The 16172-nt window shown below is 40.6% G+C and overlaps 1 protein-coding gene across 3 annotated transcripts in view; it reads left to right on the plus strand.

Annotated features, from left to right (window-relative positions):
• ZNF492 (zinc finger protein 492) overlaps positions 1 to 16172 on the plus strand; it is a 33348-nt gene that overhangs the window by 3822 nt on the left and 13354 nt on the right. For 2 of the 3 annotated variants that reach the window (NM_020855.3, XM_047439130.1), the window contains exons 2-3: positions 15162 to 15288; positions 15775 to 15870. In NM_020855.3, coding sequence (NP_065906.1) covers positions 15255 to 15288; positions 15775 to 15870 — 130 coding nt within the window. In that variant the 5' untranslated portion in view covers positions 15162 to 15254. The remainder of the gene's footprint in view (positions 1 to 15161; positions 15289 to 15774; positions 15871 to 16172) is intronic. The other variant, XM_047439131.1, reaches the window with a different exon arrangement.

The raw sequence follows: 16172 nt of genomic DNA on the forward strand, positions 1-16172 counted from the left end.
TTTTATTCTGTGTGTTTTTTGTTTACTGTATTGATGGTTTCCTTTGCTGTGAAGAAGCTTTTTAGCTTAATTAGCTTCAATTTGTCAATTACTGCTTTTGTTGCAATTGCTTTTGGTATCTTTATTTTAAAATTTTTGCCGGCTTCTATTTCTAGAATGGTAATTCCTAAGTTATCTCATGCATTTTTTAAAATAATTTGAAATTTTACATTTAAATCTGTAATTTATCTTGAGTTGATTTTTGTATGTGGTGTAATGAAAGGGTCCAGTTTCAATCTTCTACATAGTCCTAGCTAGTTATTCCAGTACCATTTATTAAATAGGGATTTCTTTCCAGATTCCTGTTGTTAGCTTTGCCAAAGCTAACAACCAGATGGTTGTAGGTGTGTTGTATTATGGGCTCTCTATTCTGTTGTATTGGTCTATGAGTTTGTTTTTGTACCAGTACCATGTTGCTTTGTTTACTGTAGCCCTGTAGTATAGTTTGAATTCAGGTAATGTAATGACTTCAGCTTTGTTCTTTTTGCTTATGATTGCCTTGGCTATTTGGGCCCTTTTTTGGTTCCATATAAATTTAAAAATTTTTTTGTTTTGTTTTTTAGCTCTGTTAAGAAATATTTTTGGTAGTTTGATAAAAATAGCATTAAATCTGTAATTTCTTTGGCAGGATGACTATTTTAATAATATTGATCTTTTTTTGTTTGTTTGTTTGTTTGAGATGGAGTCTTGCTCTGTCGCCCAAGCTGGAGTGCAGTGGTGCGATTTCGGCTCACTGCAACCTCTGCCTCCCGGGTTCAAGCAATTCTCTCCCTCAGCCTCCCGAGTAGCTGAGATTACAGATGCCTGCCACCACGCCTGGCTAATTTTTGTATTTTTAGTAGAGATGGGGTTTCACCGTGTTGGCCAGGCTGGTCTTCAACTCCTGACCTCGTGATCCACCTGCCTCAGCCTCCCAAAGTGCTGGGACTACAGGCGTGAGCCACTGCGCCTGGCCAATATTGATCTTCTTTATCCATGAGCACAAAATGGTTTTCCATTTGTTTGTGTCATCTCTGACTTCAAGCAGTGTTTTCACAGTGTTGTCATAAAGATCTTTCACCTCCCTGGTTAGCTGTATTTCTAGATATTTTATTCTCTTTGTAGTGATTGTGAAGGGGTTCTGTTTTTGATTTGGCTTTTGGCATGCATGTTTTTGATTTACAGGGATGCTACTAATTTTTGTACATTTATTTTGTATTCTGAAATTTTACTGAAGTTTTTTGTCAGTTTGAAAAGCTTTCCTAGGCCTGGCGCGGTGGCTCACACCTGTAATCCCAGCACTTTGGGAGGCCAAGGCGGGCAGATCATCTGAGGTCGGAAGTTCAAGACCAGCCTGACCAACATGGAGAAACCCCGTCTCTACTAAAAAAACAAAATTAGCCGGGCGTGGTGGCGCATACCTTTAATCCCAGCTACTCAGGAAGGCTGAGGCAGGAGAATTGCTTGAACCTGGGAGGCAGAGGTTGCAGTGAGCCAAGATCGCGCCACCGCACCCCAGCCTGGGCAATAAGAGCGAAACTTGGTCTCAAAAAAAAAAAAAAAAGAAAAGAAAAGAAAAGCTTTTCTGTGATGATTATAGGGTTTTTCAGATACAGCATTATGTCATCTGTAAAAAGAAATAAGTTTGACTTCCTTTCTTCCTGTTTGTATGCCTTTTTTTTTTTATCTTGCCTAATTGCTCTAGCCAGGACTTCCAATTTTATGTTGAATAGGAGTGTTGAGAGGAGGCATGCTTGTCTTGTGCCTGTTTTCAAAGAAAAATGATTCCAGGTTATGTATATTCAGTATGTTGGCTGTGGGTTTGTGATAGATAACTCATTATTTTGAAGTATGCACCTTCCATCCCTAGTTTGTTGAGACTTTTTAACATAAAAATGTTAAATTTTATTGAAAGCCTTTTCTGCATCTATTGACATACTTTTGTGCTTTCTGTCTTCAGTTCTTATTATGTGATGAATCACATTTATTAATTCATGTGTGATTTTTTTTTTTCTTTGAGATGGAGTCTCACTCTCTTGCCTAGGCTGGAGTGCAGTGGCGCGATCTCAGCTCACTGCAACGTCTGCCTCCCGGGTTCAAGCAATTCTCCTGCCTTAGCCTCCCAAGCAGCTGAATTACAGGTGCTTGCTACCACGCTCGGCTAATTTTTGTATTTTTAGTAGAGACAGGGTTTCACCATGTTGGCCAGGCTGGTCTCGAACTCCTGACCTTGGGTGATCTGCCTGCTTTGGCTTCCCAAAGTGCTGGGATTACAGGCGTGAGCCACCACGCCCCACCTCATATATGTTGAATTAGCCTTGCATCCCCAAAATAAACTCTACTTGATTATAGTTGGTTAGGTTTTTGATGTCCTGCTCAATTTGGTTTGCCAATATTTTGTTGAGAATTTTTGCATCAATGTTCATCAAGAATATTGGTCTAAAGTTTTCTTCTTTTGTTTTATCTCTGTCAGGTTTTGGTATCAGAATGGTGCTGTTTTTAGTTTTTTGGAATAGTTTCAGTAGAAGTGGTACCAGCTGTCCTTTGTCCATCTACTAGAATTCAGCTGTGAATCTATCTGGTCCTAGCCTATTTTGGTTGGTAGGCTATTTATTACTAATTCAGTTTTCAAGCTTGTTATTTATCTATTAAGGGCTTTGATTTATTTTTTGTTCAGTCTTGAGAGGATATATTTATTCAAGAATTTTTCCATTTCTTCTAGATTTTCAAGTTTGTGTGCATAGAGGTGTTCATAGTAGACTTCAATATATTTTTGTGGGGTCAGTGGTAATGTCTCTTTTGTCATATTTAATTGTGTTTATTTGGATCTTTTCCTTTTTCTTCATTAATCTTAATGGTGGTTGGTTTTATTTTTATGTTTTTAAAAATTTTACTCCTGTACTTGTTGATCTTTTGTATAGTTTTTCATGTCAAAATCTTCCATTCAGAAATGATTTTGGTTATTTCTTCTGCTAGCTTAGGGGTTGATTTGCTCTTGCTTCTCTCAGTGTTTTATTTATGATGTCAGGTTGTTAAACTGAAGTCTTTCTAACTTTTCAATGTAAGCATTTAATGCTATAATTTTTTTCTCCTAACACTGCCTTAGCTGTGTTGCAAAAATTCAGGTATGTTGTATCTTTGTTCTCATTTTTTTCAGAGAACTTCTTGGTTCCTGCCTTAATTTCATTATTTACCCAAAAGTAATTCAAGTGCAGGTTGTTTAATTTGCATGTACTTGTATGATTCAAGTGATTTTCTTTGTATTGAATTACATTTTTATCAAGCTGTGGCCTCTGTGTGTGGTTCATATAATTTTGGAATTTTTAAATTTGCTGAGGATTGTTTTGCTTCTGACTGTGTGGTCAATTTTAGAGTATGTGCCACGTGATGATGAGAAGACTGTATACTATGTTGTTTTTAGATGGAGAGTTCTGTAGAAATCTATTAGGACTGTTTAGTCAAGTGTTGAGTTTAGGTCTTAATATCTTTGTTAATTTTCTGCCTCAATAATGTGACTATTAGTGCCCACGGGTGTTGTAGTCTCCCACTATTATTGTGTCAGTATCTCATTCTCTTCATAGGTCTCTAACAACTTGATTTATTTATGTGCCCCCATCAATTTATTTACTTATTTATTTTTTATTTTTTGAGACGGAGTCTTGCTCTGTTGCCCAGGCTGGAGTGCAGTGGGGCGATCTCGGCTCACTGCAAGCTCCGCCTCCCGGGTTCACGCCATTCTCCTGCCTCAGCCTCCCGAGTAGCTAGGACTACAGGCGCCTGCCACCATGCCCGGCTAATTTTTTGTGTTTTTAGTACAGACGGGGTTTCACCATGTTAGCCAGGATGGTCTCGATCTCCTGACCTCGTCATCCGCCCGCCTCAGCCTGCCAAAGTGCTAGGATTACAGGCGTGAGCCAGCGCGCCCGGCCACGCCCCCATCAGTTTATTATAACATCTTTCTCTCTTCTGCTTTTTTACCATAAACATTCTTTCACATTCACAATCCAGATGTCCCAGAGTTCAAGAACGTGTCCAGTGACCTGGTTGTTTTAGGAGAAAATGTAAATTAAAAATAAGAGGCTTTATTTACATACGTGAAAATAAGGGAGGATATTTTGTTCATCTCTGTTTTATTAAAGCATTTAGATTATATGTAGGTATTTTTCTCTGCTTTTTTGAAATATACATAAATTATATTAACAGCTAAATAAACCTTTTGTCTTTTTTTTTTTTTTTTTTTTTTTGAGATGGAGTCTCGCACTGTTGCCCAGGCTGGAGTGCAATGGCATGATCTTGGCTCACTGCAAGCTCTGCCTCCCGGGTTCACGCCATTCTGCTGCCTCAGCCTCCTGCGTAGCTGGGACTATAGGCACCCACCACCACGCCCGGCTAATTTTTTATACTTTTAGTAGAGACGGGGTTTCACCATGTTAGCCAGGATGGTCTCCATCTCCTGACCTCGTGATCCACCTGCCTTGGCCTCCTAAAGTGCTGGGAGTACAGGCGTAAGCGACCGCGCACGGCCTTGTCATTCTTTTTGACTCAGGATTGTCTTTATTTGTAACCTGAGATTCATTGCTTTGTGTTTGCTTTGGCAGAGGTTTATTTTTTTAATTTTCAGTCATTAAAAGTACACACAGATTTATTCAGAGTAAAGCTCATTTTAAGAGCACTTGAAAGTTGGACACAAAGGTAGAATTAAATTTAGCAATACAGAATGATAAAGACTAAAAGATACAGAGTTAAGTTCCTTTGACAGAAACTTGATTATCCAAGGTACTTATTTGCAGGCTGAAGTACTTACAATGCAAAAGCAAGGTCTGGCCGTGGTGGCTCACTCCTGTAATCCCAGTGCTTTGGGAGGCCGAGGCGGGCTGATCATTTGAGGTCAGGAGTTTGAGACCAGCCTGACCAACATAGTGAAATCTGTCTCTACTAAAAATACAACAACAACAACAAAATTAGCCAGGCATGGTGGCGCATGCCTGTAGTTCCAGCTACTTGGGAGGCTGAGGCAGGAGAATCGCTTGAACCTGGGAGGCAGAGGTTGCAGTAAGCGCACATCTTGTCACTGCACTCCAGCCTGGGCAACAGAGTGAGACTCTATCCTCAAAAAAATAAAAATAAAAAAAATAAATAAGTGCAGACTCAGTCGGATATTGCTGCTTTCTGTTTTCTCTGTAAACTTTAAAAAGCCAACAAAGATTATGATACTTTAAGATGGAGATTAGTTGTCTTCAATTTGTTCCAGAAGTAATTGTGTTGTGACAAGAGTGCCAAGTATAAGGGACTCTGTGCTGTGCCTGCTTTCTCTAACTAATGCTAATAATGAGCCTAGGGGGAGCATCATCAGCATTGACAGGGGACTTATTTAAAACACCCATTCATGGACCTTTCCATACCTGCAGAATCACATTACATAGATTGAGACCAACATTACCAAGTGATTTATAAGCTCAATAAAACTTGAGAGGCAATGCTTAGTTCAGTGGTTGTAAGCCCAGGCTGCTAATTACAATCACATGGCCAGTTTGCAGAACTCCCTTTACTGGTGCCCTTCCCACAGGTTCTGTTTAATGTTCTGGGTGGAAGCATTCATGTTATTTTAATTAACTGCCTCATGTGACTCTAAGTTGTGGCCAGAATCAAGTATAGGGGGTTCAAGATACATTTATGAGAGTTAAGTTTCACCTGTGCACTAAAGGGTAGTCCTAGAGCCTCTTTTCTTTGGGTTTCATAGGGACAGGGCAGTGTGGCTCATACTTTTGTTACTGTAGCAGAAATTGCTGGCAGGGGAGGGCACCTGAAGACAGGAAAGGAGAAACTTGTATTTTTATATCTGTAGAGCAGCTCATTGTTGCTGAATCTCTTCTGTTATAAAGTACAGAAATGGGTGGAGTTTTTTCTGTTTTGGGTCTTCTGCCTGTGGGTGTGGTGGTAGCAGGTAAACATGTGGTGCTGACACTTTTCAAGGCATAGTCTCAAGATGCGGTGTAATTTGTCCAGAGAATCTTATCTGAGAAGGAATCCTAGAAAAGAAGGAGAAAGAGAAAAAATGGCATTCTTAATGATGAAATATTGAATACTTATTTTATTTTTATTTTACTTTAAGTTCCAGGATACATGTGCAGAATGTGCAGGTTTATTACATAGGTATATGTGTGCCACAGTGGTTTGCTGCACGTATTGACCCATCTTCTAGGTGCCCTCCCCTTGCCCCCCACTCCACAACAGGCCCTGGTGTGTGTTATTCCCCTCCCTGTGTCCTTGTGTTCTCATTGTTCAACTACCACTTATGAGTGAGAACATGCGGTTTTTGGTTTTCTATCCCTGTGTTAGTTTGCTGAGGATGATGACTTCCAGCTTAATCCATGTTCCTACAAAGGACATGATCTCATTTCTTTGTATGGCTGCATAGTATTCCATGGTGTGTATGTACCACATTTTATCTATCCATTCTGTCATTGATGGGCATTTGGGTTGTTTCCATGTCTTTGCTGTTGTAAATAGTGCTGCAGTAAACATACGTGTGCATGTGTCTTTATAATAGAATGATTTGTATTCCTTTGAGTATATAACCAGTAATGGGATTGCTGGGTCAAATGGTATTTCTGGTTCTAGATCCTTGAGGAATCACCACACTGTCTTCGACGATGGTTGAACTAATACACATTCTCACCAACAGTGTAAAAGCATTCCTATTTCTTCACAGCCTCACCAGCATCTATTGTTTCTGACTTTTTAATAATCACCATTCTGACTGGTGTGAGATGGTATCTCATTGTGGTTTTGATTTGTATTTCTCTAATGATCAGTGATGTTGAGCTTCTTTTCATGTGTGTTGGCTGCATAAATGCCTTCTGAGAAGTGTTTGTTCATCTTTTGCCCACTTTTTTTTTTTGAGATGGAGTCTTGCTCTGTCTCCCAGGCTGGAGTACAGTGGCACGATCTCTGCTCACTGAAGCCTACACCTCCTGGGTTCAAGTGATTCTCCTGCCCCAGCCTCCCGAGAACCTGGGACTACAGATACCCACCACCACGCCCAGCTAATTTTTGTATTTTTAGTAGAGATGGGGTTTCACCATATTGGCCAGGCTGGTCTCGAACTCCATACCTCAAACGATCCACCCACCTTGGCCTCCCAAAGTGCTGGGAGTACAGGCATGAGCCACTACACCCAGCCTTTGCTCACTTTTTGATGGAATTGTTTTTTTTCTTGTAAATTTTTAAAAGTTTCTTGTAAATTCTGAATATTAGATCTTTGTCAGATGGGTAGATTGTAAAATTTTTCTCCTATTCTGTAGGTTGCCTGTTCACTCTGCTGATAGTTTCCTTTTCTGTGCAGAAGCTCTTTAGTTTAATTAGCTCTTATTTGTCAATTTTGGGTTTAGTTGCAGTTACTTTTGGCATTTTTGTCATGAAGTCTTTGCCGATGCCTATGTCCTGAATGGTATTGCCTAGATTTTCTTCTAGGGTTTTTATGGTTTTGAGTTTTACATTTAAGTCTTTAATCCATCTTGAGTAAATTTTTGTATAAGGTGTAAGGAAGAGGTCCAGTTTCAGTTTTCTGCATATGGCTAGCCAGTTTTCTCAGGACCATTTATTGAATAGAAAATCCTTTCCCCATTGCTTGTTTTTGTCAGGTTTGTTGAATATCAGATGGTTGTAGACGTGTGGTGTTATTTCTGAGGTTTCTTTTCTGTTCCATTGGTCTATATGTCTGTTTTTGGACCAGTACCATGTTGTTTTGCTTACTGTAGTCTTGTAGTATAGCTTGAAGTCAGGTAGTGTGATGCCTCTATCTTTGTTCTTTTTGCTTAGGATTGTCTTGGCTATATGGGCTCTTTTTTGGTTCCATATGAAATTTAAAGTCTTTTTTTCTAATTCTGTGAAGAATGTGAATGGTAGTTTGATGGGAATAACATTGAGCCCATAAATTACTTTGGGCAGTATGGCCATTTTCATGATGTTGATTCCTTCTATCCATAAGGATGGGATGTTTTTCCATTTGATTGTGTGCTCTCTTACCTCCTTGAGGAGTGGTTTGTAGTTCTCCTTGAAGAGGTCCTTCACATTCCTTGTTAGCTGTATTTTTAGATATTTTATTCTTTTTGTAGCAGTTGTGAAGTTTATTTATGATTTGGCTCTCTGATTGTCTGTTGTTGGCTTATAGGAATGCCTGTGATTTTTGCACATTCATTTTGTATCCTGAGACTTTGCTGAAGTTACTTATCAGCTTAAGGAGTTTTTGGGCTGAGATGATGGAATTTTCTAAATATAGAATAACGTCATGTGAAAACAGAGAGAATTTGACTTCCTCTTACTCTATTTGAATACTCTTTATTTCTTTCTCTTTCCTGATTGCCCTGGCCATAACTTCTAATACTATATTCAATAGGAATGGTGAGAAAGGACATCCTTGTCTTGTACTGGTTTTCAAAGAGAATGCTTCCAGCTTTTTCCCATTCAATATGATATTGGCTGTGGGTTTGTCATAAACAGCTCCTATTATTTTGAGATATGTTCCATTAACACCTAATTTATTGAGAGTTCTTAACATGAAAGAAAGTTGAATTTTATCAAAGGCCATTTCTGCATCTATTGAGATAATCATGTGATTTTTGTCTTTAGTTCTGTTTATGTCATGAATTATGTTTATTGATTTGCATATGTTGAACCAGCCCTGAATCCCAGGGATGAAGCCGACTTGATCATGGTGAATAAGTTTTTGTTTTTGTTTTTGCTTTTTTGAGACCGAGTTTCTCTCTTGTTGCCCAGTGCAATGGTGTAATCTCGGCTCACCGCAACCTCCGCCTCCTGGGTTCAAGTGATTCTCCTGCCTCAGCCTCTTGAGTAGCTGAGATTACAGGTATGCACCACCACGCCCGGCTAATTTTTTGTACTTTTAGTAGAGACGAAGTTTCTCCATGTTGGTCAGGCTGGGCTCAAACTCCTGACCTCAGGTGATCTGCCTGCCTCGGCCTCCCAAAGTGGTGGGATTTCGGGTGTGAGCCACTGCGCCCGGCCTGGTGGATGTTTTTTGATGTGCTGCTGGATTCAGTTTGCCAGTTTTTTTTTGTTTGTTTGTTTGTTGTTGTTTTTTTTTTTTTTAGGCAGAGTTTCATTCTTGTTGCCCAGGCTGGAGTGTAATTGTGCAGTCCTGGCTCACTGCAACCTCCGCCTCCTGGGTTCAAGTGATTGTCCTGCCCCAGCATCCCAAGTAGCCTGGATTACAGGTGCCCGCCACTACACCCAGTTAATTTTTTTTTTTAATTTTTATTAGAGATGGGGTTTCACCATGTTGGCCAGGCTGGTCTCGAACTCCTAACCTCAGGTGATCCCCCCCAATCTCGGCCTCCCAAAGTGCTGGGATTACAGGGGTGAGCCACCACGCCTGGCCCTATTTTGTTAATTTTTTCAAAAAACAGCTCCTGGATTCATTGATTTTTTTTTGAGGGTTTTTCATGTCTATCTCCTTCAGTTCTGCTCTCATCTTAGCTATTTCTTGTCCTCTGCTAGCTTTTGGAATTGGATTTGTTTGCTCTTGCTTTCTAGCTCTTTTAGTTTTTTTTTTTTTTTTTTTTGAGATGGAGACTCACTCTGTCACCCAAGCTGGAGTCCAGTGGCGTGATCTTGGCTTACTGCAACCTCCGCCTCCTGGGTTCAAGCAATTCTCTCTGCCTCAACCTCCTGAGTAGCTGGGATTATAGGTGCCCACCACCACACCTGGCTAATTTTGCTATTTTTTAGTAGAGATGGGGTTTTGACATATTGGCCAGAGGCTGGTCTTGCTCTCCTGATTTCAGGTGATTTGCCTGCCTCGGCCTCCCAAAATGCTGGGATTACAGGCGTGAGTCACCGTTCCCCGACTTAGCTCTTTTAATTGTGATGTTAGGGTGTCGATTTGAGATTTTTCTAGCTTTCTTATGTGGGCATTTGGTGCTATAAATTCCCCTTTTAACTCTGTCCCAGAGATTCTAGTATGTTGTGATTTTGTTCTCACTGGTTTCAAAGAACTTTTGATTTCTGCCTTATTATTTACCCAGGAGTCATTCAGGAGCAGATTGTTCATTTTTTATGTAAATGTGTGCTTTTGAGTAAGTTTCCTAATCCCGAGTTCTAATTTGACTGTGTTGTGGTCTGAGAGACTGTTTGTTACCATTTCAGTCCTGTTGCATTGGCTGAGGAGAGTTTTACTTCCAATTATGTGGTTGATTTTAGAAAAGTGCCATGTGGCACTGAGAAGAATGTATATTCTGTTGATTTGGGGTGGTGAGTTCTGTAGATGCCTATTAGGTCCACTTGATCCAGAGCTGAGTTCAAGTCCTGAATATCCTAGTTAATTTTTTGTCTTGTTGATCCGTCTAATATTGACAGTGAGGTGTTAAAGTCTCCCACTGATTGTGTGGGCGTCTAAGTCTCTTTGTAGGTCTCTAAGAACTTGCTTCATGAGTCTGAGTTCTCCTGCATTGGGTGCTTATGTATTTAGGAGAGTTAGCTCTTCTTGTTGAATTGACTCCTTTACCATTAAATAATGCCCTTCTTTGTCTTTTTTAAATCTTTGTTGGTTTAAAGTCTGTTTTGTCAGAGACTAGGATTCCATCCCCTGCTTATTTCTGCTTTCCATTTGCTTGGTAAATTTTGCTTCATCCCTATGTGTGTCTTTACACATGAGATGGGTCTCCTGAATACAGCACACTGATGGGTCTTGACTCTTTATCCAATTTGCCAGTCTGTGTCTTTTAATTTGGGCATTTAGCCCATTTACATTTAAGGTTAGTATTGTTCTGTGTGAAGTTGATCCTGTCATCATGATGGCATCTGGTTATTTTGCACACTAGTTGATGCTGTTTCTTCATAGTGTCATTGGTCTTCATGGTGTGTTTTTGCAGTGGCTGGTACCAGTTTTTCTTTTCCATATTTAGTGCTTTCTTCAGGAGCTCTTGCAAGCCAGGCCTGGTGGAGACAAAATCCCTCAGCATTTGCTTGTCTGGAAAGGATTTTATTTCTTTTTCTACTCATGCAGCTTAGTTTGGCTCGATATAAAATTCTGGGTTCAAAATTCTTTTCTTTAAGAATGTTGAATATTGGCCTCCATTGTCATCTGGTTTGTAGGATTTCTGCTGAGAGGTCCACTGTTAGTCTGATGGACTTATTTTGTAGGTGACCTGGCCTTTCTGTCTGACTACCCTTAACATTTTTTTGTCATTTCAACCTTGGAGAATCTGATGATTATGTTTCTTGGGGTTGATCTTCTTGTGGAATATCTTAGTGGTGTTCTTGGTATTTCCTGAATTTGAATGTTAGCTTGTCTTGCTAAACTGGGGAAGTTCTCCTGGATGATATCCTGAAGTGTGTTTTCCAGCTTGTTTCCATTCTCCCCCTTTCCTTCAGGTATTCCAGTCAATTGTAGGTTTGGCCTTTTTATGTAGTCCCATATTTCTCGGAGGCTTTGTTCATTCTTGTTCATTCTTGTTCAGTCTTTTTTTCTCTAATCTTGTCTGCATGCCTTATTTCAGCAAGGTGGTCTGCAAACTCTGATATTTTTTCTTCTACTTTGTCAATTTGGCTGTTGATACTTGTGTATGCTTCATGAAGTTCTCATGCTGTGTTTCTTAGCTCCGTCAGGTCATTTATGTTCCTCTCTAAACTGGTTATTCTAGTTAGTGGCTCCTCTCGCTAACTTTTTATCAAGGTTCTTAGGTTTTTTGCATTTGGTTAGAACATGCTCCTTTAGCTCAGTGGAGTTTGTTATTGCCCATCTTCTGAAGCCTACATCTGTCAATTTGTCTATCTCATTCTCCATCCAGTTCTGCACCCTTGCTGGAGAGGCATTGCAATCATTTGGAGAAGAAGAGGCACCCTTGCCTTTTGGGTTCTCAGTGTTTTTGTCATTGATTCTCATCTTCATGAGTTTGTCTAGTTTCGATCTTTGATGGGGTTCTTGTGGGGACTTTTTTGTTGCTGTTGTTCATTTCTGTTTGTTTTTCTTTCAATGGTCAGATCCCTCTTCTGTATGGTTGCTGTGGTTTGCTGGGGGTTCACTTCAGGCCCTATTTATCTGGTTCACTTCTGAACCTGGAGATATTAAGGAGATTGGAGAACAGCAAAGATGGGTGCCTGCTCCTTCCTCTGGGATCTCTGACCTTAAGGAACACCAATCTGATGCCAGTAGGAACACAGCTGTATAGGGTGTCTGACAACCCCAGTTGGAGTATCTCACCCAGTTGGGTGGCATGAGGAACAGAACCCATTTAATGAAGCACTTTTATTGTCCCTTGGTGGAGGGGGTATGCTTCACTGGGGTTAAACTCACTCCTCTGGGCTGCTTGGATTCCTCAGAACTGGCGGGGGGAAAAGCTAAGTCCACTGGTCCACAGAAACTGCAGTCACCTCTCCCCCTAGGGACTCAGGCCCAGGGAGATCAGAGTTCTGTCCCTGAGCCCCTGGCTGGAGTTGTTGGAGTTCCTGCAGAGTGGCCCCACACAGTGAGGAGGGATGTGTCAGGGTCAGGCCTGAAGAGGAGCTGTAGCTGCAGTCTGGCACAGCCAGTGTGTTAGGCTGTGGGGGACACCTCTTGGGACCAAGCCGTCCAGCATCCCTGGCTCCAGCAGGGGAAAAGCATGGCCAGGAGCTATAGAGATGACTGCCGCCCTTCCCCTGCCCAGGGAGCCTAGTGTGTTAGGCAGCTGTCAGTCCCAGTGCTGGTTGCTGCCCCTCCCCCAGGGAGCTCAAATGGCTTAAACAGCAGGCAGCCATAGCTGTAGTGCTGGTCACCCCTCCCCTGGGAACTCAGCAGGCTTAAGCAGATTTTAGCTGAGAGGCTGTTGAGAATCTGCACAGCTCTGGGGTTGGGATCCTAGGCCCCAGTGGCATGGGTTCACGAGTGAAATCTTTCAGTCTATGGGTTGCACAATTCCATGGAAAAGGCATGGTTTTGTCGGCTAAGTAGCACATTCATTCACCGCCTCCCTTGGCTGGGGGGTGGGGGCTCCCCTGCCCCGTGTGGCTCTCAGGTGGGTTGCTGCACCACACTGCTCTTTCTTCCTCTCTGTGGGTCATGCCAGCTGCCTAGTCAGTTCTGATGAGAGAACCTGGATACCTCAGGTGCCAGTGCAGGATTCACAGGCCATTATGGTTCTTTTCGGTGGGAGTCTCTGATCACCGCTGCTTCTAGTTGGCCATCTTTGCCCTGCCCCTAAAAAATGGCTTTTTTTTCTTTTTAAGCTAAACATGTCTCAGATGAAGAACTGTGTCCACTCTGCCTCCTGGAATGCCATGTGTTCAGTACTTGCAAAGCTTTACTTTTCTACTTGTGCTTTTTCTTCCTAATGAGTTTAACTACTTTTTAGTTCTTATAATAGTCAAAGGTCTCTGAAAAATATTTCTTTCCTACATACCAGAGTCTTCTCTACATTCTCAACATCATGGCTTCTTACATGTCATCAAGAATTCTCACCATGAATTTATGAACTGCAATATTAAGAATGTTTCCTTCGTGGCTATGGAACATGGGAAGGTGTAGATACTCAAGATTCCTATTGGGGAAAAGCTGGGGTCCTTAATAAAGATGGAGAGCATGTAATTTTGAGGTTCCATCTCTGTTCTCCATTAGCTGTAAACAAATAAGATTAAGAAAATGCTTATTTAAATGGGATGGCATTTATTACGCAGAAAGTTTAAAAATAATAATAATTAGGAGATACTTGCTCTTTAGGGTGTGAAAGAAAGACTACTTAAAATCACTATTAAAATTTACAGAACATGGCAGATATTGGTATCTGGAACTTTACATAAAACCAGTGTTTCTTTATGATTAAATTCAGACTATAATTTACTTTTGGCTGGGCAATATCATAGCAGTGATGCCGTGTCCTTCTGTGTGCATCAGCACATTTGTCTTCATGCACTTGATGTTAATAACTCACTTGATTAATGAACTCTGTGACAGATTTTTTTCTATAGAGTTAATTATTTTTCTCTTCATTACTGAGTATCTTTATTCAGCAGATGTGCATAAACAATCACATTTAATCTGGCAGCTGACCTTTCTTAGGCTTTTTTTTTTTTTTTTTGAGACGGAGTCTCGCTCTGTCGCCCAGGCCGGACTGCGGACTGCAGTGGCGCAATCTCGGCTCACTGCAAGCTCCGCTTCCCGGGTTCACGCCATTCTCCTGCCTCAGACTCCCGAGTAGCTGGGACTACAGGCGCCCGCCACCTTAGGTTTTCTTTGCATTTATCTGTCTTTGGAAAATGAAAGCTCTCATCTTTGTTTACAGGCCAGAAAAACTGAAAAACACACAGGCTTTTCCACTTACTGGATGTTTGACAAAATAGTTTTCTTGGACCAAAAACATGGGCATTACTGGTGAGCTTGTTAGAGATTCAGAAACTCAGATTTTATTCCAAATTTTCTTTTCTTTTTTTTTTTTTTGAGACGGAGTCTCGCTCTGTCACCCAGGCTGGAGTGCAGTGGCGCGATTTCAGCTCACTGCAAGCTCCGCCTCTGGGGTTCATGCCATTCTCCTGCCTCAGCCTCCCGAGTAGCTGGGACTACGGGCTCTCGCCTCCACGCCCGGCTAATTTTTTGTATTTTTAGTAGAGACAGGGTTTCACCGTGTTAGCCAGGATAGTCTCGGTCTCCTGACCTCGTGATCCACCCGCCTTAGCCTCCCAAAGTGCTGGGATTACAGGCGTGAGCCATCGCTCCCAGCCCAGATTTTCTGAAAAAATAATCTGCATTAACAAGATCTCCAGTTTATTGTACACATTAACATGTGAGCAGTATTTTCTAACTGAATATGTCTTTTCCATCTGAAAAATTTACACAACTTATTCTGTATGATGTAAATGTAGCACTCAAAAATGTACATGTTAGTGTTAATGCCCTCAATTTTATACTTCATCATCCGAAGAAGTATCATACTTACCTCGATGTTGTGGATCTTATGCCACTCTCTTTTCTCAGAGTTAGAGAATGCATTAGAGAATATACTTCTGTGCTGAAAGTTATTTATTAAATATATCAGTCACTCCTATAAGTAAGAACCAGTTCTCTTTACTCTTGTTTTACCTTGAGTCAAATTAAAAATTCTGTTCATGGCCACTTGGTAAATATGTATGTGTGTTTGTATGTTTTTCAGGGAGTGTTGACATTTAGGGATGTGGCCATAGAATTCTCTCTGGAGGAGTGGCAATGCCTGGACACCGCACAGCAGAATTTATATAGGAATGTGATGTTAGAGAACTACAGAAACCTGGTCTTCGTGGGTGAGGATAACTTCAATATACAATTCCCTAATATACCCTATAAATTTTATTTCTCTTTTTTGTAGAATGGTTTTTGGTAATTTATGCTTTCAGATCTCTGTTTTTTGTTTTTAACTTCAAGATTTGTCTATGTAGAAAAGAATTTCAAGATGTTTCATTTTGACCTGAACTTTCCACACTCCTGAGCTGATCTGTGTTCTTCACTCTAGATTAGTGTTAATTTTAGAAATTTAGTGGCATAACGTACTGTTGCCCACATCTTAAAATCTAATTGCCACTACCAGTTTTTGATTTAGTAGTATCAGGTAGTGAAATTAAGAACTTACAAAATTAAAATATTTCCTAAATATTTAAAATTTTTTGTTGTGTATTAGTATTTTGGAATCAATTTACTAGAATATTCTATTACATCCTTTTTTCTGAACACACTACTAAATTGGTAATTGGAGAATATGAGCAAGATTCATGTTATTTGTAATAAAACAGGTATTGCTGCCTCTAAGCCAGACCTGATCACCTGTCTGGAGCAAGGAAAAGAACCTTGGAATGTGAAGAGACATGAGATGGTAGCTGAACCCCCAGGTAGGTGAGAGTGAAAGTGAATACAACAGATGACACAGATGAGAGCTCCAAAGTAGAAAAAAAAAAAAGCCAGTCCTTAAAATGATTTGAAATCTGTGTTCCAAAGGAAATAGTTTCTGGGAAGCCTGAATTTTTTAAATTTTGCTTTCACATAGAAGCATCTTCTGTCTTATATTTTTAAAATCTCTGAAGATTTTACTTTCCCTTTGGTGATCTTCTTCAAGTTTACAGTGACAGCCAAGACAGCCCTCTTCATGGCACATAAGAGACTGTGAAATCTGACTTTTTCACTGTTTTTGAAA

The sequence above is a fragment of the Homo sapiens genome, chromosome 19, assembly GCF_000001405.40.
Source record: "Homo sapiens chromosome 19, GRCh38.p14 Primary Assembly".
NCBI classification, from domain to species: Eukaryota; Metazoa; Chordata; class Mammalia; order Primates; family Hominidae; genus Homo; species Homo sapiens.